At 50.4% G+C, this 23,388-nt stretch overlaps 1 long non-coding RNA gene across 1 annotated transcript, besides 3 other annotated features; it reads left to right on the top strand.

Annotated features, from left to right (window-relative positions):
- The first annotated feature begins 1,994 nt into the window (after positions 1–1,994).
- Positions 1,995–10,686, top strand: DKFZp451B082 (uncharacterized LOC401282). Its single transcript, NR_033862.1, has 4 exons — positions 1,995–2,649; positions 4,056–4,313; positions 5,438–8,273; positions 9,505–10,686. It is a non-coding gene; the product is annotated as an uncharacterized LOC401282 (long non-coding RNA).
- Positions 5,517–5,811: an enhancer, noted in NCBI's record as "tiled region #3851; K562 Activating non-DNase unmatched - State 21:Repr". NCBI's record gives its function as "activates a minimal TATA promoter and a strong SV40 promoter by Sharpr-MPRA in K562 cells {active_cell/tissue: K562}" and the evidence as "EXISTENCE:reporter gene assay evidence [ECO:0000049][PMID:27701403]".
- Positions 7,075–7,575: an enhancer, noted in NCBI's record as "H3K4me1 hESC enhancer chr6:163762485-163762985 (GRCh37/hg19 assembly coordinates)". NCBI's record gives its function as "activates a minimal SCP1, AML or CMV promoter by ChIP-STARR-seq in primed H9 embryonic stem cells {active_cell/tissue: H9 hESC(primed)}" and the evidence as "EXISTENCE:reporter gene assay evidence [ECO:0000049][PMID:30033119]".
- Positions 13,018–13,831: an enhancer, noted in NCBI's record as "H3K4me1 hESC enhancer chr6:163756229-163757042 (GRCh37/hg19 assembly coordinates)". NCBI's record gives its function as "activates a minimal SCP1, AML or CMV promoter by ChIP-STARR-seq in naive H9 embryonic stem cells {active_cell/tissue: H9 hESC(naive)}" and the evidence as "EXISTENCE:reporter gene assay evidence [ECO:0000049][PMID:30033119]".

Genomic DNA, 23,388 nt, shown 5'->3' with positions numbered 1-23,388 from the left:
ACTGGTTTCCCAAAGGATTCTGTGGAGAAGGCTGAGAAGTGTGACAGTGCCTCTTTAATTAGATTTGTCCCTGAACTTTGAGAAGGTCAGGATGTTCACAGCAGGGCCCTTAACTCTTAGAGACTCATCACTCCTGGGCAGAACATTGGCATGTGCTCTTCCCAGCTGTGTCCCCTCAGAGGAGACTTTTCACAGTTTTGTGTTGGGCCAGCCATGAAAACAGAAGCTCAGCCCGTTAGTCCCAGCTCTATGGGACCAGCTTTGAGAAAAACAGGTAATAACAGACACTGATTTATTCAAGGATGCGATCCTTCAACAGCTTTTTACCATATCCACAAACACAAACTCCAGGAGGGCCTGAAGCTGAGAAGCAGATGGGCTGCTGGGGACACATATTTACAGTGTGTGATCATTAAGCAGGGGTGTCCTCACTTCCCAAATTCTAGTAATCAATACGTATTTCCTATGGCTGCCGTAACAAATTGCCACAAACTTAGTAGCTCAAACCAACACAAATGGGTTCTCTTAGAATTCTGGAGGTCAGAACTCTGAAATAGGTCCTAAAATCAAGGTGTCAGCAGGGCTGTGTTCCTTGCAGAGATGCCACAGGAGAATCCATTTCCCTGATTTTTCCAGCTTCTAGAGGCCACCCACATTCTTTGACTTGTGGCCTCTTCCTCTTCAAAACTTGTCCTGTAGTCATCGTCCTGTCATTTTTGACTTTAATCTTCTTGCCTCTCTCTTAAAGATCCTTGTGAGTAGATTAGGCCCACCTGAATCATCCAGGACAATCCCTCCATCCCCAAATCCTTCACAGAATCACACTGACAAAATTCCTTTTGCCAGGTAAGGTATTCACAGGTTCTGGGGATTAGGACGTGGACGTCTTTGGTGGAGGAGGGGGCATCGTTCTCTCTACCACACCGAGACTTTGCAAAAATGTGTTCTTCTTGGACAAGTAAATTTGGAACATGTTGGGTTAAATAAAAAAAACAAACCAGGTTTCTTTATTGCAGGACTTTTCCGTCTTCAGTGTTAATGAATGTTGTAAAATCCAAGAGGGAAATGTAGTGTATAGTGTTTCCCAATCTTGTTTGAACAAGATCCCCCTCCTTCATTTCCCCCCATGAAAGCAGTGAACATTTCAGGATCGAGTGGGGACACAGTCTCAGGAAACACATTTTGGCCCAACTGCGGAAGTCAAGGCCTGGAGGAGCAGGTTTACATCTCACCAAGGTTTGGGGATGAAACCGATTACAGGGGAGAATCATTCTGTGGCGGCCACCACGTGCCATGCCGTGAACACTGCAGAAGAGGAATTCTTCATTTAGGATCTGATATTTCGTGTCTGAAATTTCTGAGTAGGATTTGGTTGACCTCAACTCCACCCTCTAAGGCAGATAGAGAAGTCAATCCTTCACTTATTCATTCACCCATCCATGCGCTTAGTAAGTGTATATAAGGCAACATTATACTGGGAATTCCACGTCCACCGGTTCCCTGCCCACGTTCCCCAGCTCTAGTTTCCGCGCCCAGCCCCCTTTTGGCCATAGCCACCCATAACTGTCAAGTTGAATCACAAACAGCTGTCTCCCAAAAATATCCTGAGAAATCTCCCCCAACTCTATATATTCCCTGAAGGTCGCACGAAGCAGGACTATAGGCAGGAGGGGCGGGGCCCAGGCAGAGGATGTGAGTCACTAGGCAAGTGCTGCCTCGTATTTTTGGCCTGCGGGTGGGGTGGCTGGGTGGGTTGAGCAGCACTTGTGCTCATGGTCGGGTGAATTTATGGGATTTATCCAAGTTAATGGTAGTGCTGGAGGCAGCTCCAGGGAGCGAGGCAATCGGAATGTGCCTCTTACCACTCCACTAAGCCGCTCTCTGGACACGGAGCCATCCTACCCGGCCTGTGCTTTTAATGCCAAGATCCGCATTGCCCAGCCCTGGCCTGTGGGTCTCCTCCCCCTGTGCCCTGGCCCCACATGTGGTCTTTGCAAACAGTGCCCCTGGACAAGGAGGGCACATGGGCCTGATCCGCTTCCCCAAAGCCTATGGAGCACTTATCAGTCCTATTTAAAGCTCCAGTTAAGGATTCGGATTCAAGACTATGCCATTAAATGACCACATTAACGAGCTCTCCGAGAAAAGCTCTCACAAAGCTTTTGAGCTCATAGCCTCTTGGCTGCCTTAGGAGCTTCCAGTGTGTTAACATTCAGAAAATCCAAATATTCCGAGCGCCGGCGCTGCAGCGTTCCCAGCCCTTTGCCGACTGGAAGCTTCTCTGTCTGCTGTGTGGATGGAGCAGCAGGAGCCAGTGAGTCCTGGGCAGCCTCAGGGCCACCTGGGCACAGCCCCCCTCTGTCCCTCTGTCCCGGGGGCCCTGTCCTCTTGGCGGGGCTCCAGGCCTCTGGCGGCTGCTTTTGTGCTCTTTTGCGGGGCATCTGTGAGAACAGTCTGGAAGACAATGACAGAGTGCTTGCCTGGGGAGTCGGAGGAGCTCCGGTTATGTCCAAGCCGAACCCCTGGAGCCTCTGGACTGCCTGGCACTGAGGGAGCGGGAACTGGACGGTGGGCATGTGGCCGGGAGGAGCCTTCCAACCAGAAGAAACTAAGTTTTCAAGTTTCCTGCTGTGTCATCTCAACTGGAAAGTAGGCATATCGGGGTATTTCTGAAGGTGAAGGGCACCGTTTGCCTGTACTCTGTTCCTCGGCATCCCCAGAAAAAGAAGCTTTGATGTGAAAGGGGCTCCTGGGCTGTGCTTTTCCCTTCTGTGTCCGTGTCAGGGTTTCTCTCTGCCACCTCTTGACACCAGCCCTTATTTTTAGGGATGTTCAGACCTGAGGGTTCGGCCTGTGCAGCCAAGAAGCCCTCGAGCTGATTCATGGCGTGGATCCCTGTCCTTGTGTCTCAACGATGGGAGGCTGGAGGTGGAGCCACAGGGCTGCTGGAGGGGAATGGGGCGAGGACCATGAGCCTGACTCAGTGGCCCCAGCGAGGCCAGGGCTTCTGGTCTTCACAGGTGGCCAAGGCTTTGTGGACCTGCCCTGGCCCCCATGCCTGAATTGCATGGAGGTGGCCCCTTTTGCACACTAAGAAAGATTCCCAGAATTCCTGCTGTCTTCTCCTTTCTACGGTCTGGGCTGATGTAGGGGCTTCTCTGCACTGGGGAGGAGCCCATCCCCTCTGAGGCTGAGCTAGGATTCCCTCCCTGGATGCAGTTAGGAGTTGAGCTTAATTTTCTTTCTTTCTTTCTTTTTTTGTTGAGACAGTCTCACTCCGTCGCCCAGGCTGGAGTGCGGCGGCGCAATCTCGGTTCACTGCAACCTCTCCCTCCCGGGTTCAAGCAATTTTCTTGCCTCAGCCTCCTGAGTAGCTGGGATTACAGGCACCTGCCACCATGCCTGGCTAATTTTTTGTATTTTTAATATAGACAAGGTTTTGCCATGTTGGCCAGGCTGGTCTTGAACTCTTGAACTCAGGCAATGTGCCTGCCTTGGCCTCCCAAAGTGCTGGGATTACAGGCATGAGCCACCACACCCGGCCCTGAGCCTAATTTTCAACGTACTTTGATTCTGTCCGTACTTTGAAGCAGAAGTGGCACTGGCTGGATGTGGCTGAGGAGGGACACCTGGGTTGCATTGGCTCCCATTAATGGCCAAAGGCAAGGAGGGGAGAAGATGGTTCCTTTTTAGAAAGAAACTTAAAAAGCAGCAAAACAAAACACACGCACACACCCCCAAAAATGTCTTGGCTGTGGTGGCTGTGGACCTGCACCCCTGGGATGGCCACATCATCCTTCAAAAAGCTGCTGGCACCTCCACAACCTGCTCAGCTCTAAGCTCTAGGCCACAGCCACACTCTTCCTGGGCTGCCCCTGTCAGATGGAGCTCAGTGGAGCCACGAGGTCTGGGGACCTGGATGTCCCAGCTCATCCCTGGATTCCTCCAATGGGCATCTAGCTCCAGGGCCCCTCACTGGGTTGGCCGAGACTTGGTCGGATCTGCACCGCACTTTGAGGCTTTCCTTGCCTGATCCTCCGCTTTATCTCTTACAGGTGTCGTCCCCCAGGAAGTCTCCTGCCCTCCCTCTCTGCACAGGGAGCCGCTTCCCACTCTGTCCTTCGATGGACACGCTGATGCAGCTGGGAATGAGCTTGGAAACGCTAACTGACCAGAGTGATTTCTGGGCCCTGAGTGCATTACAGATGGAGAAAGCTTCTGAATTCTCTATGGAACTCCAGGCCTGACCTTGGGATGGGAGACGGGCGGCTGGGCGCACAAGGAAAGAGGCCTCGCCTTGCGCCACGGAGGAGGTGGGGAGCAATCAGCCGGCCCCAGGCTGGAACCTGAGGAACCCAAAACACCAAACGCTGGGGAAACTTTCCCTTCCTTTTTTCCAAACATATGTTCAAGCTGGGGGTCTGAATATGCAGTGGGCTGCCCTATTTCCCAACCTGGCTTTGGGGAAGTAAGTCAACACAGGCAGTTGCTGAGTTTGCTTACTCTGTGCAACTTGTGTGGTAACCAGCAGCTATCAATACACTTTACAGGTGTGCTGGAAGATAGTTATTTCAAGGAAAACAATGATTCTTTTTAGAAAGTAAACTTCTGAAGGAGGCATCAAAACTTTGAATTTTGATGCAGCATTTTTTTTTTTTTTTTGAGATGGAGTCTTGCTCTGTTGCCTAGCCTGGAGTGCAGTGGCACAACCTCGGTCACTGCAACTTCTACCTCCTGGGTTCAAGCAATTCTCCTGCCTCAGCCTCCTGAGTAGCTGGGATTACAGGCACCCACCATCATGCCCGGCTAATCTTTGTATTTTTGTAGAGACAGGGTTTCACTATGTTGGCCAGGCTGGTCTTGAACTCCTGACCTTAGGTGATCCACCCACCTTGGCCTCCCAAAGTGCTGGGATTACAGGCGTGAGCCATTGTGCCTGGCCTGACGCAGCATATTTTTAAAGACAGGATGCACATGTAATTTGGAGAGAGATGGCCGATTCCAAAATATTGCAGGTACGATGGCATCCTTCAATGATAAATACTTCCCAAATGGTCCTGTGAGCACTCCCAACTTCCTCCTCTGGCCAGTAGCCTTTCAAGCCAAGACCTCAAACCAGCAGGATTTTATTTTAACTGTAAGGAGAGGACAAAGGCCATGGAACGATGCCATCCAGGCTGCCCTTGGCCGGCCTCACTGCCCCTATCTGCAGGAGGCTCAGGAAGGTTTCCAAATGCCCAGAGTAGTGTGGCTCGAGTGCTTCTCGGAGTCATTCTCACCCTACTCACCGGAAGTGGGAAGGACAGGAGAACTGTCAGTCAGGTCGGCCATGGAGGTCAAAGGCAGCCCTGTTGAGAATGTGCGGATGTTTGTCCTTCCAGATGGTCCAGACAAGGGATGGCACAGATTTCATTCCCGCATTGTCTTTTGACCGCAGGTGCTACCCCGAGCACTGTCTGGGGAGGATTTCAAGGCTGTGCCCAGGCCACCCCTGATGGATGCATCAGTCACTTCAGCCATGGTGCCGGCAGGGAGCCCAAGCGCGGGAGCATCCTCTGTCGTCCTCGCAGCCGGGACCCTCTCATTTCCTGTCTGCACAGCAGCCCCGGCGTGTTCCTCTGTGAAAGCCAGGAGCACGGGGGTGACGCCTTCTGGGCCTGCCACTGTTCCTTCAGAAGCGACCTTTGACCTCCCCATCAGCCTGTGCTGCTAGGTCTGGGGTCATTTTCTGCTCAGATATCTCCTCTCCCTGACGATCGATTCCCCCTGGAGGGGTGAGCCACTGTCGGGAGGGGAGACGGAGCTGAGCATGCAAGGAAGGGCAACCCCAGCCCAGATCCTGGAGGGCTTTGGGCTTCCAGGTAGAAGCCGGTCTTCGCGTCAGCAAACCAAGAAAATGCCTCCCTGAAATGGTCTCCAGGTCCCCCCAAACACCTGCCTCCCCCTCCAGCCTTCTCCACTGATGCCTGCAGCTGCATAAGTAGTGTTTCATTGCACCCCAGCAGGAGCTGGTACCGGTTCTTCCCTTGCCTCATGCTGGGGTAGATTTTATTTAGGATTGGGAGCAGGGAAAGGAGCTAGAGAAAGGAAGGGTTCCAGGAAGCTGGGAAGGGAGATGTCAGGTGGGGTGATGGGAAAGGAGGCCAAGGACCACCTTTGCCTGTATGGTGGGCTGAACTGTGTCCCCACAAAAGATAGGGCGTCCTAACCCCAGATACCTGTGAATGTGACCTTATTTGGGAATAGAGTTTTTGCAAATGGAATCAAGTCATGATGACGTCATTAGCATGAGCCTTAATTTAATAGGATTGATGTCCTTCTAAGAAGAGAAGACAGGGACACACAGGAGAAAGCCATGTGATGAAGCAGGCAGGAGCTGGAGCGACACTACCACAGGCCAAGGAACATTGGGACCAGAAGAGGCGAGGAGGGGCCGTTCCCTAGAGGCTTTGGAGAGAGCATGGCTCATCAACACCTTGACTTCAGACTGGTAGCCCCCAAACGGTGACAGAATAATTGTCTATTGTTTTAAGCCCCCTGGCTTATAGTACGTTGTAAAGGCAGCCCTAGGAAGCCCTAAGCCAGTTTCACTCATTATGATAAATATCATAGATGATGACTGTCATATATTGGATGTGCTGGAGATCTTCACAGCCACAGAATAAACTGCAGGCCAAAAAAAGAACATTCATATGAGGTCCCCAGCAGGGGCTGGCTGTGCAAGTCAGAGACTGCAGAACCAGGTAGGCAGACAAAGCGAAATTGCCTGGAGCTGGACACATATGTGCACCACTGGGAAATAAATAGACTTGCGGTGGAAATGACCAACGTGGATGGCCAGGGAAATGCCAGCAGCAATAAAAGAAAAGAGTGCACAAGGCCTGTAAATCAGCAGATGCGAGAGCTCCCGAAAAGTAGCGAAGTCTGAAATAAAAGGCAGGCTCAGGCTGGTGGTCCAAGAAGTTAAAGCAGGAAATGAGAGCGTGGGCACTGTGTGTGCTGGGCTCCCAAAGACTGCAGGGAGTGGCCAGATGTCTCCAGAGGCAGCGTCATGTGGAGCAAAGGGGACCTGAGGAGTGTCAGCATCCTCAGTCACCTCCTCCTTTGAACCAGCTGTTCGGAATCTGGTCTCTTACTTAGGATAATTGTAGGAACTGACTTTTTTTTTTTTTCTTTTCTCACCTATTGGCTGACTGAAAGAACCGACTTTTAAATGAGCACCTCCCTCATTAGAATTGCTCAAATGACAACAGCTGCAGCGGTGGGAGCAGCAGCAAGTTTGAAAATCCAACAGTCTGCATTCCACAGTGACAGTATTCTTGGTCACCTCGGAGACATGGCAGCCGGGAGCCACGGCTCTCATTGCTCGGGGTTGGTTGGGTTACCAGCCCTAGGGCTACAGAATGTATCTAAAAGAGAGGCTTGGCTGGCAGTTTAAGAGGGGTGCAGGACAGCAGGATGGGGTTCATGAGGCAAGAGTGGATGGAGCCTGTGGCCCAGTTGGGATGAGATGGGACAGTTCCAATGGGCAGGACAAACCCCAGCCACCGTCTCAGGGTATTTGACAGGAGGTAAACAGCAGACAAAATCCTGGAGCACAGGGGGGCAGGGCTGTCTCGTTCCCATGAATGGCAACATTGGAGGACTGACCCCCAAGAGCGTGGTTTTGTCGTCAGCCTCAAAGGCATGGCTTTCTCTCTGGCGTTGGCAGCAGCCGCTCAGCACCATAGCTAGGGAGCAGCGGCCTAGATCCCTCACATTTATTTCACTTTGACTCTTTTGACCAAAGCACCACTGTTTAAGGCCTCATTTTTCTTCTCCCATGTGGAAAATCATATTGCTTAAATTTAAAAATGAAGATAGATAGATGGATGAAAAAATCCCCATAGAGCAAAATTCTGCCTGTGACAAAAAGGTCTCCACGTCTGAGGTGACAGTCAACTTCAAGTGACGCCAAGAACATCAAAATCTCTCTATAAAAAAAGAATAGGAAGCAATGGGGCTCGTGAAAATGCCACATCAAGAAAAGTCAACAAATACATACTTAGTGGTAACTATGGTTGCAGAGAAAGAGAAAACTTAAAACAATATGAACATATGTGGTCATATAGACTGAAAACCCACCGTGTCATAAAACCCCAGGACACAGAACGCATCAGCGTAGACAGCAGCTGTACAGACAATGCTGGGGCGGTTGTGGAGTGGGATTAGAAGACAGGAGGCGCCATCGAGTCAGCTCCAAGGCCATTAGCCTTGTGACGCCAGCAAAATGTGTGAGTGGGGAGCCTCTACGTTCTCTCCTGTGAAATGGGGATGACAGTACTTCCTTGTAGGGTTGTGGTAACGAAGTTATTCAGCACAGAGCTTGGCATGTGGTCATAACAAGGAGTGGCGGATAATGATAATATGGTAACAGTAGGCATCATTGTGAGAAGGGACAGAGACTCAATGTGAAAAGTATAGAAAGGGCTCTTACAAATCTCCAAGCACATAAAAGTCCCTAAAAGACAAATGGCGAAGGGTTCACAGTTCACAGAAATGGAAAAAAAGAAATGAATGAATTCAATGAATATTAGGGGAAGAAAACCGTTACTAATTAGTGACGAAGCACAAAGTAATGCAAGTATCCAACACCATTTTGACAGCACTTGAGAAATGATCGAGAATTCAGAAACGCGGTAAAAACTGACGCTGGTCCCGACAGTTAAGTAGGAATATCCAGGAGTTCCTGACGGTAGTGCAAATGTGTTTGATTACTTTGGAAGACCATTTGGTAATTCTCATCAAAAGCCAGAATACGCTACACTTGGATCTCATCATTCTCTTCCTGAGAATGAAATAATTCAAATTAAGAGAAAGCTATACTTATAATGAGACATGTAGTTAGAATTATGAGAATAAAAATAGGTTAGCATCCCCTAATACAGAAATGGTTACTTTGTCATAAGAATACTAATTCTATAACATATTACATGGTGATTAAAATGAGAGTGTATTTAGAATAATGTTAAGTCTTAACATTATTTTATAATATAATTTATTGAAATAATTAATTACGGATATTTTTAAAATATGTAGCTAAAGATGAGATGAAGCTATCAGTTAATGCAATTTATCTGATGTAGGTAGAGGAACTTAGATACACCTATGTATGTTATTTTATTAATAAGTACTTTAAATGACACATAACTAAATTATCTTAATTTCTCTGTATCACCTGTTATGAATACACGACTCCCCATGATTCATTTTGTACTGACCTATACGAGGGTATACAAATCTAAATCAGGCACTGAATTAAGGCACAAGCTAGCTGTGTCCTCCCTGGAACATTTCCTGACTCAATTTAGAAATATCAGCTGAGCGTGTAGAGTTGTCTCTTTGAGGAAAGCTTTATTCTCTCAAGACTACTTGGCTCCCTGATACTCTCTTTAATGTTATTATAAGAACGCTGATCTTTTAATCCGCTAATTCACTCTCTATTATTCTTATATCTCAAAACAGCTTCAAAAGTCACTGGATTTTTCAATGAGAAGGAGAAGTTAGGCAGCTACCAAATAGCTGAAAGAATATTAAATCTGATGGATCCAGCCAAATAAAAATGTTCATTCATAGGATCTGTGGTTGTTGAGGAATCTTCTAAGTTTCATAAATGGCAAAAACTCTTTCTCAGACTTACAGATCAGACCTCACATATGCATGAGAAGAGAAGCTATTTTTGTCTCTGGGTTCCAGTTACACAGCCACAGCCTGGAAGCTTTGTTCTCAGAATTCATGCTGTCATCAAAAGGACTCAATACAAACACTGCAGCCAGCCTGCCATGGCTTAGCTGTGACCGCAGCTGCAAACTCTTCTGTCATGTGAAAACTTTTGGCTTTTTCCGGGTGTGGAATGCCTGTTGGTCCCAGCTCCGCCTGCCTTTCCTCCTTCTGGAATCGTGTCCATCCTTTCAGTCAACTCAGTTTGTCCGCATCTTCCAGGCCTCATACCTCCGCCTGATCTGCATGGCAGTGGTGGGCTTGCTCTTTGTGCTATTACACTGACTGTGATCGTGTTTAGTGAGTCAGCTTCTACAAAGTTGACCTGCACCTGTGTGATGTCTCTCCCTAGCTGGATGCAGCTTCTCCATGGGCTAAGTTCATCATGTTAACAGTGCCTGCCCCACAGGCCCTCAGGGGATCTTAGTGGGTGGTCTATGGAGAGACTTTAGTGGGTATATGAATCCCCAAAATTGTAGGCAAAGTTTGTGTATGCTGTGGCCTATCGACAGCGGGGACTCTGCCGCTGATTTCTCCTAAGAAGCCTCCTGGGGGTTTGAGCGAATCGTGGTGGTCTCCTTCCCTCTGGAGTGATTAGTTTTGGCTTTGGCTCAACATGGTGCAGACCCATGGGATCCAAAGGGAAGTTGGCCGGGCATTTCTGGGAAGGATGTCTCTTCTTCTGATTTCTGAGTGAGGGTAGGAAGCCCTCTTCTTCATCAGACGCCATGGCTCTTACACGAATGATGCCTAGAGCAGACACAGCCCTTCCAGGACCAGAGGCCAAGGCTGACAATGGGACAAGAGGGCGGAGGAAGAAGTGGGGAGCACCTAAGCCTTCCTCTGACCAAGCACTGTCCTAACCAATTCTGATTGGTTCACTTCTAGTTACATGATATAATAAACGTCCTATTTCTTAAGGCACTTTTAACATGAGTGCAGCATTTTAGAGTTTCATCAGGTGATCCACTGGATCTGAGTCTCTGCTCAGGCTTAAGGATGCCCATAAAAGGTGCCCAATTAAATGTTGATTGGTTGATTGGCACACAGAGAATCGCTGGAAGTGCCGCTGAGTCATCCAGGTGCTAAGAGAGCTTGCCAGGCCTGTCTAGAGGAGGTTGGCCAACTGGAGTGTGTTGTTCTCCCACTCAAGTCCACTGCCCAGTGCTGCCAGGTGTGGGAGAGCAACTCAGAGAGGGCTGGATGTTAGACCAAGCAAGGTCTTGAGAGTGTCACGCTCAGGGAGATGCCCAAGAGGGGACCAGCTGGCTGTTTGTGTGGGTGTTTCCTCACTGGGTAAACAGGAGAGAATCCTCCTTATCAAGGGCCTGTAGAGTAGATGGACTTAAGCTTTTGCACCCACTCTGGCTGAGCTGTAGTGTTAAGAAGGATTCTGAAGCTGTGTCCATATTTAACTGGAAACTGTGCCGTGATTATTAGTTAAGTGTCCCATGGATACAAATGGAAAGAATCGAGGCATTCACGCCAGTGATTCATCCCCCCTGTCTAGGGTCTGGTTCTCGGCTTTTTAGATCAGGAGACTCAGGGAGCCCCTTCAAAGTAGATACCCACTTCAAAAGTGGGTTCATCTATCTCCTGGAAAATGCCCCACTCCCTTTGATAGACTGTTCTGCTCAAAAACATCTTCTGACTGAGCACAGTGGCTCACGCCTTTAATTCCAGCACTTTGGGAGGTTGAGATGGGCAGATCCCTTGAGCCCAGAAGTTTGAGACCAGCCTGGGCAATATGGTGAGACCCTGTCACTACAAAAAAATAAAAACAATTAGCCAGGTATGGTGATACAAGCCTGTAGTCCCAGCTACTTGGGAGGCTGAGGTGGGAGGATCAGCTGGCCCCAGAGGTCAAGGCTGCAGTGAGCTGAGATCATGCCACTTGCACTCCAGCCTGGGTGACAGAGTGAGGTTTTGTCTAAAAAATTAAATGAATAAGTACATAAATAGGTCTCTGAGGCTGAGGACAGGCATCCTCCGGGGATGGGTGGCGCTGTCTGAAGCTGTCTTCCTCTGTCAACTAACAAGCTGGCACCAGAAATTCCAGGTGGTCTCCTGGGCACTCGGTGGACCCTCAGCTCTTCCTCGGACGGTGGTGGGCAGTCTTGGACACATCTCCTTTTTTGGATCCCGTGAGGAAGAGTGTGACCTTTCTGCTTGGCACTTGGCTCATCAGCCTGATGCGCGCATAGCGTGGTAGAGGGCCAGGTGCACAGACGTGGTGCTGTGACCCTGGGGAAAGCTGTCTCGGGGCCCACGTCTCCCATGCAGAATGAAGGGCCCCCTGCAGATCTGCTCCATGTGCCGTGGAGTTGCTGGTTCTGATTAGGGAATGGTTTCCTTTAGTCCCTCCGGGTCTAGGAATGCTCTCTGCCCACCTGGACACTGTTGGGTGAGCACAGGATAAACATCACGAAATGAAGAGTGCCATCTGCAGAGCCAAGAAGCAGAGGCTCGCTTGGAGAAGGACAGGACTGGGCCTAGAAGGGTTTGGCGGGTGGCTCTGCCTGGCCATTTGGGGACAGGAAAGGAGAGGGAACCCCAAGTAATGGGAGCGGCCTGAACAAAGGCCAGGACAGGATGTAGGGCTTGCTTGGGGCCTGGTGACTGAGGCCCCATTTGCCTGGCCGAGGGTCTGTGTTCTACTCAGGGTTGAGAAGTAGGGAAGGATTGGAGGAGGTTAAGGACTTGAGGAAAATGAGACTTTAGGAAGACTCCTGTGGCTGCTGGGGGTGGGAGGGAGAGGAGGGACTCCAGAGAGGCAGAGAACTGTCCAGGAGGGGGTGAGTCTTGGGCTGAGGGTGCTGGCTCCATGCTGGGGGTTCATACCAGAGGCCGCCAGGAGCTCAGGTGAGGGCTGCTGCGGAACTCCCCTTCCTTGGCCAGGCCTCCCTCCCCTCCTTTCCCTTCCCAGGTGTGCTGACGACTCGGTGGACTCAGGTGGTGCTGGCCTCCCGTGCTCAGGGACTGAGAGCTGGTTGCTCCTTCCTACACAGCCCCTCTTTGAGAGACTGCAAACCTACCCCCAGGCAGGCAGAGCTGGGGGACGGGGAGTCAGCCACCGATGTGCTTGAAGCAAAGCAGATGGTGCTCTTGGCTCAATGGAGGTGGCCGAAGGACATGACCTTCCCCTCCGGCCTTTCTTTTGGGAAAGGAAGTCTTTGGTAGTTTGTAGCAACTGAATAAATCTTGTCATTTTGATAAGCAGGGTCCCCGTTTCGCTCCCTGAGCGGAGAAAGCGCCACACTTCCTCCGATTGTTCCCGCTGATGGCATTTGAGTCTGTGAGGCGGGATTGCTGTCCCGGGGAGTTTAGGAAGGAAGTGCAGGCCCCGCCGCGGTGGCAGGAGAGGCGTGCGGTGCGGGCCGGTTATTCTTGGAGGTTATTTCCATCTGCTGGGCCTGGAGCAGCTCAGGTTTCTGCACCCAGGCCAGCCACGTCATGGGAGGGTGAGGCTTTGCTTTATAATAATAGACTCAGGCTCTCCGGGCCAGGCTGGCGGCTCCTTGAGGACATCAGGCCGCCCTGGCTCAGTGTCCCCCAGGACCTGGAGTGCCCCAGGAGCACCCGTTTGGTGTCCCTGCCATGCCCCAGGACCCTCCATGAACAGCAGCTCCTCACGCAGCTCCCAGAAAAAAGCAACTCCCGGGAGACTGACCCGGGAAAGCCACGTGGGGAGAGCCTGGCCGCAGCTTCCCAGAGTGGGAGGAAGAAGGTTCTGGTGACCCGAGCTGCCTGTGGTGTGGCAGCCACTGTCCTGGGAGGCAGGAGCCCCTGGCAGGGCGAGGGTTTGCTCTCTGTCTTCCGGGCACCCCATGCAGGCCCCACTCAGGCCACTTTATTTTTAAATTTCAAGTCATTTGTATGGTTATAGATGTTAGTTTGCTGGCCAACATAAATTACCACAGACTGGGTGCTTAAGTAACAAGAATGCACCGCACAGGGTCTGGAGGCTGGAAGTCATAGGCCAAGGTGCAGTCGCAGCTGGGTCCTGCTGAGGCCCCAAGGGAGGCGTGGCTCAGGACTCACCTCGGCACCCGGAGGTGGCCGGTGGTCTTTGGTGTTCCTTGGCTGGTAGAAGCATCATCCTGGTCTCTGCCTTCCTCTTCACACAGCATCTCCCTGCATGTGGGTCTGTGTCCACATTCCTTCTTTCTATAAGGACACCAGACATATTGGATTAGGGGCCCACCCTACTGTTTGACCTCATCCTAACTTGACTAATGACACCTGCAATAACCCTCTGTCCCAACAGGGTCACCTTCTGAGGTCCTGGGAGTTAGGACTTCAACACATGAATCTGGGGGACACAGTTCAACCTGCGACAGATGTGGCACATACGGATGGTAGAAACTTAGAAAATAGAGATGATCAGAAAATGAAGGAGTAAAAACTCTACATTTTTATGGCTCAGAGATCGTCACTGTGACTAGCTCAGGGTACATCCTCCTGAAGAAACCGTGTCTCAGAATAAGACAGAATGTGTATCCCGTTGGGTAGCCTGCTTTACACAACAGTCTCCATCTCTCTAGTCTGCCACATTTCTTCTCTAATACCTGGTCTGTGTTCAAATTGTGTGTTCTTTCTGGTAGCTTCGTTCAAACCAGTAACCAGTCCGTGGCCATGCATGTTAACTGGTGGTTGTGTCCCTGAAGTCCTCTTTTTATGGTATTGGCTTATTTTGGGCCGGCTGTGTTGCACAACCCCTGCATTGCCTGTAAACTGGCGCTCATAGCTAAACCGCTGATGGCCTCGAGTTAAACGTTGCTGGACAGAAAGCATTGCAGGGACTTCTACTTGCTGCAGGTCAGAAGACACAAAACATCTGGTTGACCTGTGTCAGGGTTTTGCCAGGTCCAGGCGTTCCTGCACTGGGTGGGAAGTGGAACAAGACAACCTCGACTGGCCCTTGCAACACTGAGGATTTTCAGCTTGGAAGTTTCTGATAGTTGTCTTTTCTGGTGGCAGCGGCATTGGGAGAGGGGGCGTGGCAGGGTCTTCGGATCGGTCCAGGCTACTGCCCTTGAGGATTGCACTGAGGGACTGTCCCAAAACGTCCAGTTCTAAGAATAGTGTTCCTTGGATTCCTGACATTTTGCCCACAAATGTGGAGTGAGGGGCACGTGCTTTCCTCACTGCAACTGCGTCTCTCACATACAGCAGGCTGCGATCACACGGGGTCAGCTGCACTCTCGCCAGTCCTCCCTCCTACACCGCTTCCGGGAAGGACCATGACTTTTTTTATCCAACATTTTATGGTTTATTTTTCTTTGGAGGAACAATTTACCAGGAAACACAAATTTCTTGTGTATATTTGCTGGTGATTTGACAAATGCAAACACTTTTATAACCCAAACTTCTGTCAAGTTCTAGAACATTCCCATCACCCCATAAAGTTATCACTCCATAAAGTTCCCCGGCGGCCTGCCCCAGTCAATCTCTGACCACACAGAAGTAACATCATCACTGTTCCTGTTTTTTTCCACGATAGACTATTTTGTCTTTTCTAGAACTTTGTGTAGATGGAATCTGCAGCACGCTGTCTTACTCAGCGAAGTTCTGGGTTTCATCCACGGTGGTGCAGGTGTCCCTAGCTTGCCGCTTTTTCTTTTTTTTGAGATGGAATTTCGCTCTTGTTGCCCAGGCTGGAGTGCGATGGTGCAGTCTTGGCTCACTGCAACCTCTCCCTCTTGGGTTCAAGCAATTCTCCTGCCTCAGCCTTCCAAGTGGCTGGGACTACAGACATGTACCACCATACACGGCTAATTTTGTAATTTTAGTAGAGGTGATGTTTCACCATGTTGGTTAGGCTGGTCTCGAACTCCTGACCTCAAATTATTCGAGTGCCTTGGTCTCACAAAGTGCTGGGATTATAGGCGTGAGCCACGGCACCCCTGGCCTAGCTCACTGACTTTTATTCCTTTATTGTGGGAACATACTGTGGTTTCTTCATTCCTTCTCCTATTGACGGACACTTGGGCTGTTTGAACATTTTTGCACAAGTAATTTTGTGTATGAATGTTTTCCTTTCTCTTGGATAAATATCCAGGAGTGAAATGAGTGGGTCATAGTTGAAATGATGGCAGCATTTTACTCCCCCACAACAATGTCTGAGTCCTGGTGTGACCTAGTCTATTTGTTGCCTTTCTGGAGAATGTGTGGTGTATTTTAATGTGGTTGACTTGCATTTCCCTGATGATTTATGAAAACAAGAACTTTTTTAGCATGCTTCTTGGTCATTTGTATATATTCTTTTGTGACCCTAACTTTTTAAAATTAATTTTTATTTCTCTTCCTTAATAAGCATTGTGAAGTGGCATTGCACTTAGTCAAATAGGCATTCAACACATGAATTGAATTTCTTCCCCATCCTCACCCTTCAGTGAAGACTGTCCAAGATATGCGAACTGATACAAAGAGAACTGTTTGAGAAAAAGCTGAGTCATGCCCCTTGATCACGTTGTACCTGAGTTCCACTCTCTGGGACGCTGGTAGCCTCATCATGAAGCAGATGTGGGAGGCCAGGCGGCGAGGTGCTGCTGGCCTGTGCAGTGTGCACGATATCCTCTAAGTGGGGTTGGGGGTGGTGCTCATGCATCAGGGGATGGGCATACTGGACGTAGGGGAAAGGGCAGAAAAATAGCCCTTTGCTCTAAAGAGCTCAGCTTATGGGTTTTGGTGGGGAAGGGAGTGAAAGCACAGGGATCACAGCTGAGACCAGGGAGGAAATGAAGCACAGCCTCCAGAGTTGGATTAGTGGCCAGGGGGGAATCGTGACACCAGGGAGCTTCTTTAGGTGTCAGGCAGAGGATCTCCTTCTTTCAATGGAGAATGACATTTGTCACCCCACTTAGCAGAGGCTCCTTTGAGCCAGCTCAGATGGTTTACAAGAAAACCACTCAGAGCCACCAGGTACCCAGGGGCACTCATGGCCCGGGTCCAGCACGGCCTGGCCCTGCATCCCCTCTCCCTGCCCTGGGGAGCAGGGGCAGTGGGCACTCGGACTCAGTTTCTCTCTATTATTATTAATATTTGAAAAAAAAATTTGAGGCAGGGTCTTGCTCTGTTGCCCAGGCTGGAGTATAGTGATGTGATTTCAGCCACTATAGCCTTTGCCTCCCAGGCTCAAGTGATCCTCCCACCTCAGCCTCCAAGTAGCTAGAACCACAGGTGCACATCGCCACCCCTGGCTAATTTTGTATATTTTTTGTAAAGACGAGGTTTTGCCATGTTGCCCAGGCTGGTCTCAAACTCCTGTACTCAAGTGATCTGCCCATCTCCCAAAGTGCTGGGATTACAGGCGTGAGCCACCATGCATGGCCTTCTTCTTCCTTTATCAGCCCCATTTCTGTCCTTCCCTGGGTCGGCCCCGCCTGTTTCCACCCACGTGCTTCCCTTCATTTGCAGTAACTCATTGCATTGTTGGAGGACTTCACTGCTCTGTTTCTGTGGACCAATAGCTGCCCCGGAATTCCACTAGAGATCCTTGGACTAGGCCACAGAGATGGAGAAAGAGGAAAAGGAGATAAAAAGAAGCTGGATTAAGAAAAGGGTCAGGAAGAAGGGGTGAATGAGAAGGGGAGGAACAAAGGGACTCAGATGATTTCTGCAGAGTTTGGGGTAGCTCCCGTGAGAGGTGTCTGCTTCCACCCCGGGTTAGGTGCTCCTTCTTGGGTTAAGTGCTCCCCCCAGGTTAGGCACTTCTCCCTGGGTTAGGCGCTCCCCTCTGGGTTAGGCGCTCCCCCAGGGTTAAGCGGTCCCCACTGAGTAAGGTGCCCCTCCCTGGGTTAGGCGCTCCCTCCTGGGTTAGGCGCTCCCCCTGGGTTAGGCGCTCCCCCCTAGGTTAGGTGCTCAGGGCCCTGCCAGCAAATTGAGGCTGCTGCTTCCCACCCCCGGAGACACCACCTTCCCTCTCAGTGCAGGTTCACAGCATGCTGGGCAAGCAGCACCTGGTCAACACATGAGGGGATATGATAAAAACAGGAGCTTATAATCCAGAGATCCCTTGCAACACATCTCTGCTTATGCAGCGGGGACACCATTCGGTAAAGATGCCCCCCACATCTGTCTCATTTCTCACTGGATCAAACTACTCTCCTTATTCCTTTAGAATCAGGTGCTGTCGAAGACAGAGAATCAACCTAAATGGCCATCAGTGGTAGACTGGATAAAGAAACTGTGGTGTACATACACCGTGGAATCTTTCCCAGCCATAAAAAAATGAGATGGTGTCTTTTGCAGGGAAGTGGATGGAGCTGGAGGCCATTACTCTTAGCAAACTAATGCAGGAACAGAAAACCAAATACCACATGTTCTCATTTGTAAGTGGGAGCTAAGTGATGAGAACACATGGACACAAAGATGGGAACAGCAGACACCAGGGCTACTTTAGGGCGGAGGGTGGGAGGAGGGAGAGGATCAGAGGAGATACCTACTGGGTACCAGGCTTATTACCCGGAGGATGAAATTACCTGTGCACCAAAGCCCTGTGACATGCAGTTAACCGATATAACAAACCCGCGCAGGTACCCCGACCCTAAAATAAGAGTTATAATAAAGGTTTATCGTATTCAAATAAGAATCAGGTGCTCTGATCCTGCCTGACTCAAACTTGAAACTGTCCCCACAAAGCAGCAATTCAAATTTTAAGATTTTCCAGAGAAAATAAGTTGGAAAATGCAAGGAAAATAATGAGGAAGATGGGATTCCACTCGGTGTGACAGAGCCAGCATGGGGTCCCACGCTGCGGGTCATTAAGGACAGAAGTGAGGCCTCTTAGGGATGCCTGCATAGGGCAGAAAGGATTAGAGGGAGAAGAGAAAGGTCTCATGGGCTAGAAAGCGAGTAAACATGGAAAGAACCTCCTGGCGTGGTGGCCATGGCAAGCGGGGCTCCCAGCAGAGAGGAGCTGTGAGAAAGAGCCAGGGCCCTTTCAGCCTTGGAGAAAGCAGCCTTGACAGAGGGGCCCCAGAACACTGGGAGGGGGCGAGGCTGGCACAGGATGCTCTCCACAAGGGCCACACTCCAGGGTGACTCATTCCCAGGCCCCTGCGGACAACCTTGGGCCAAGTCCCATTTCCTCCCTGAGAAACGCTTTAGCCAGGGGAGGGGGGTGACCTGCAGCATCTCTGTGGGGCGATCCCACTCCAGGAGTCAGCTCCCTCCCCTGTGGAGAGTGCCCCAGATTGGAGTCGCCTTGGCTGTATTTACTCCCCTCCAAAGGCCCACGGAGGCAGATGGTGGTAAAATGCTACGTGGGAGAAGTAGCACCTGATTCTCTAGATCACGGATCAGAGTCCCAACTCCAGTGCTTGGGGGAAACTTTAGAGATCAAGCCTGGCCCCACCATTCATTTTACAGACAGAGAAACTGGGGCCCACAGAGTTGAAGTTACTTGGCCAAGACCTCCCAGCTGTTCAGTGGCAGCGCGTGGCTGGAAACTCTTGTTTCCTAGATCCTAAGTCAGAGTTGGACCCTCACACCACCTGGAAGGAAAGGGACACAGAGAAATGGGAACCAGGGGACACTTCTGAGCCAGGAGGGTGCTGTCCTGCTTTTCTGGGAATAGGGGGGAAGGGGAGAAAGGAAAGTGCCAAGGAGGGATTCTGGCTGCAGGGGGAGTGGGGGAGGGATTCTGGCTGCAGGGGGAGTTGGGGAGGGATTCTGACTGCAGGGGGAGTGGGGGAAGGATGCTGAGTGCAGGGGGAGTGGGGGAGGGATTCTGGCTGCAGGGGGAGTTGGGGAGGGATTCTGACTGCAGGGGGAGTTGGGGAGGGATGCTGTGTGCAGGGGGAGTTGGGGAGGGATTCTGACTGCAGGGGGAGTTGGGGAGGGACGCTGAATGCAGGGTGAGTGGGGGAGGTTTTCTGGCTGCAGGGGGAGTTGGGGAGGGATGCTGACTGCAGGGGGAGTTGGGGAGGATGCACACTGCAGGGGAGTGGGGATGGGATGCTGACTGCAGGGTGGAGTAGGGGAGGGATGCAGAGTGCTGGATGGCGTGGAGATGAGATATGCTGACTTCAGAGGGAGTGGGAGCTGAAGATGTCCTTGCCTCCCTTTGCTTCGGCCTTTGGATAAACTGCTCTTTACAGTTTTGCTAACTTTTTTTTTTCTTTTGAGACTGAGTCTCATGCTATTGCCCAGGCTGGAGTGCAGTGGTGCCATCTTGGCTCGCTGCAATCTCTGCTTCCCTGGCTTAAGTAATTCTCATGCCTCAGCCTCCTGAGTAGCTGGGATTACAGCCATGAGCCACCATGCCTGACTAATTTTTGTTTTTTTTTTTGTAGAGATGGGATTTTGCCACGTTGGCCAGGCTGGTCTCAAACTCCTGACCTCAAGTGATCGGCCCACCTTGGCCTCCCGAAGTGCTGGGATTACAGGTGTGAGCCACTGCGCCTGGTGCAGTTTAGCTAACTTATTGAACTGTTCGATTTGCTTGCGTGCACTCAGGGAATGTTAGGGTTGTGAGGGACTCTGGGGTTGGGTGGGTCAACTTCCTGCCCAGTATGGAAGTCCCTGAGCATTTCTGACTGTGGCCATTAACTCCTCTTGAAGCTTCCGGAGAGCAGGAACGTCTCCCCCGTCCTAGGCATTGAAGCAGCCCTGAGTCCGGCTTAACTGTCACACAGGACCTTGGGCGTGCACCCTGCGGCTGCGGGTGGGATTCTGTTCCTGGAGGCTGCAGAACACACCTGGCCTTGCTGCACCAGCTCCAGGCTGGCGTGTGGTGGACAGATGGAGTGGGCAAAGCACTTCACTTCCCCGAATGCAGGCTTTCTCCTCTAGGATGGAAGCGATGCCGGCCTTACAGTGATCCAGGAGTTAAGAAGAAATTACTTAGGCAGATAGTGAGGGTACGGAAGTCCTCAGTAAGGTTTTCCTTTTCATGTAAAGCAGGCCCAAATTAGTTTCCTTTCTAACAAAGAGCAGCCTGTAAAATCGAGCTGCAGACATAGATGCCGGCAGTTGTGCCAGTCAAGTTCAAGACGGTGACTCCATCTTCCCTTCTCTTTGTCAGCCACGTGCACAGTAAGGGGCAGACAAGATGGCCTGGCCAACAGGAAAGTTCATTTGCATAATAAGATTAGGGTGGGGCGGCCAGGCTTCCCCCTGTGCTATATAAACGTCATACCTGATGGGACCAATCTGTAAGCCCTAATGTAAACCAGACACCGCCTCCTCAAACCTGACTATAAAATCCAGCGCATCTGCTGGCCAGCCTTTTCCTCTGGGAAGTCCCCTCTCTCTCACTAGAGAGAAAGCTGTTTTCCTTTCTCTTTCTTTCTCTCTCCTTTGCCTATTAAACCTCCATTCCTAAACTCCTCATGTGTGTCCATGTCCTCAGTTTTCCTGGTGTGAGACAATGAACCCCGGGTATTTACCCCAGACAACATAGCTTCTTCAACAGGCTGTTGTGAGCAGCAATAACAATCTCCACAGAGGGCCCAGGGCGTCATGTTGGCCTCTGGCCTCTGCCCACCCTGTCCACCCCCACATCCCAGGCCCTGGGTTGCTCCTGAGGCTGCTTTAGGCTCCTCTCCCGCTGCACTGGGGCTGTGGCCCTGCAAGCAGCCAGGAGGCTCAAACCCAGCAGAAGAGGAAATGGGAGGGCAGGGAAGACCCAGACACCCAACCACAAAGAGACCGCCATGACAGAGCCATGACTGTGGCAGGTGGGTAGGGTGCACAGGCCGGGGACCCCCTGTGTCCTTCCCCCACTGAGGGCACTGCTCAGGAGGGGGTCCTCACGTGTTGGGCCTGTCTCACATTGCTGTAAAGAAACACATGAGACAGGGTAATTTATAAAGAGAAGAGGTTTAATTGGCTTGCAGTTCTGCAGGCTGTGCAAGAAGTATGGTGCCGGCATCTGCTGGGCTTCTGGGGAGGCCTCAGGGAGCTTTTACGCATGGCGGGAGGGGAAGTGGGAGCAGGCAGGTCACATGGCAGGGGCAGGTGTAAGACAGGGGAGGGGCTACACACTTAAAGGACCAGATCTTTCTAGAACTCACTCACCATGGCGAGGACAGCACCAAGCCATGAGGAATCTGCCCCTGTGATGCAAGCACCTCCCACCAGGCCCCACCTCCAACACTGGGGGTTATATCTCAACATAAGATTGGATGGGGACAAATCTCCAAACAATATCACCTCACTTCTGGGGGTTATGTCTCAACATAAGATTGGGTGGGGACAAATCTCCAAACAATATCACCTCACTTCTGGGGGTTATATCTCAACATAAGATTGGGTGGGGACAAATCTCCAAACAATATCACCTCACTTCTGGGGGTTATGTCTCAACATAAGATTGGGTGGGGACAAATCTCCAAACAATATCACCTCACTTCTGGGGAGGGGAAGATGGCTAGCATGGCCACGGTGAGCTTCTATCCTGAGTCTGGTCAAGGAAATGTGAGCCAATCTCACCAGAACCCTCTAAGCCCAGGACAAGGGGTGTTCTCAACATACACCAACCATGCAAGTAGGGTTCCTTGGGTCGCTTTGAAGGAAAAAAATTACAACTACAACTTTCATAAAGAAGCTAAAAATAAACAGATTAAATCTCATCTGTGATTAAATCCCAGTGATCCCTCACCATGGTTTTTGTCTGTGGTTCTTGGGAAATTAAAAAGTGTTTGTCCAGTCACTGATGATCAATCAGGTTTTAAAAACCAGGAGTAACTGAGAGGTCTCTGAAAAAAGAATGTAACGTTGGAACACGGGAGACAGAAGGAAGTCAGGTGTGGCCAATGGCAGTGAGGAGTTGTGGGGTGTTTGTGAATAAAAGGAGCCACACATCTTTGAAGGATGGACTGAACCAGGCTGACATTTTCACCAATAAAATGTGGAGGAAACAAACTTCAAAGTAATAGGGTCTATGTTCACGGTGGCCAAAAAGAAATGCTTTCTGGTATTCTGTGCTAACACCCAACATCACTTCTCAGGTGTGTAATGTGGAAAACATTAAAGTTTCATGCCTTGGTTTTCAGAGCCATAAACAAACTTAAACAAACGGGTTCCATGGTGTGCATGGAACCTGGTCAGGGCTGTGACATCTGCGTGACACTGGAAACTGGTGCCACGTCACAGAAGGCAGGCTGGTCACAGCGTTGTTTCCCCTGATGACCCGAATGGCCACATCATCTAAGATGAACTTGTCTGGGATTTCAGAGTGGAGTGTATAGGTTTCTGTTCACATTGTTTTGTTTGTTTTTGTTTTTGTTTGAGATGGAGTCTCGCTCTGTCGCCCAGGCTGGAGTGCTCACTGAAACCTCTGCCTCCTGGGTTCAAGTAATTCTTGTGCCTCAGCCTCCCGAGTACCTGGGATTACAGGTGCGTGCCACCATTCCCGGTTAATTTTTGTATTTTTAGTAGGGGGTTTCACCCTGTTGACCAGGCTGGTCTTGAACTCCTGGCTTCAAGCTAGCCACTCGCCTTGGCCTCCCAAAGGGCTGGGATTACAGGCATGAGCCACTGCGCCTGGCCTCTGTTCACCTTGTTTATTCTCTATTTATTTCATATTTTATATTTATATGTTTCACTTATCTTCTATTGAAAGATTACGTGTCAGCACAGTATTAAGTGATTTTCACAAAATACCTCCAATGCCTCCCTCCC

This window comes from Homo sapiens, chromosome 6 (assembly GCF_000001405.40).
Source record: "Homo sapiens chromosome 6, GRCh38.p14 Primary Assembly".
NCBI classification, from domain to species: Eukaryota; Metazoa; Chordata; class Mammalia; order Primates; family Hominidae; genus Homo; species Homo sapiens.
The sequence above is the reverse complement of the archived record's forward strand: the minus strand, read 5'-3'. Positions and strand labels throughout refer to the sequence as shown.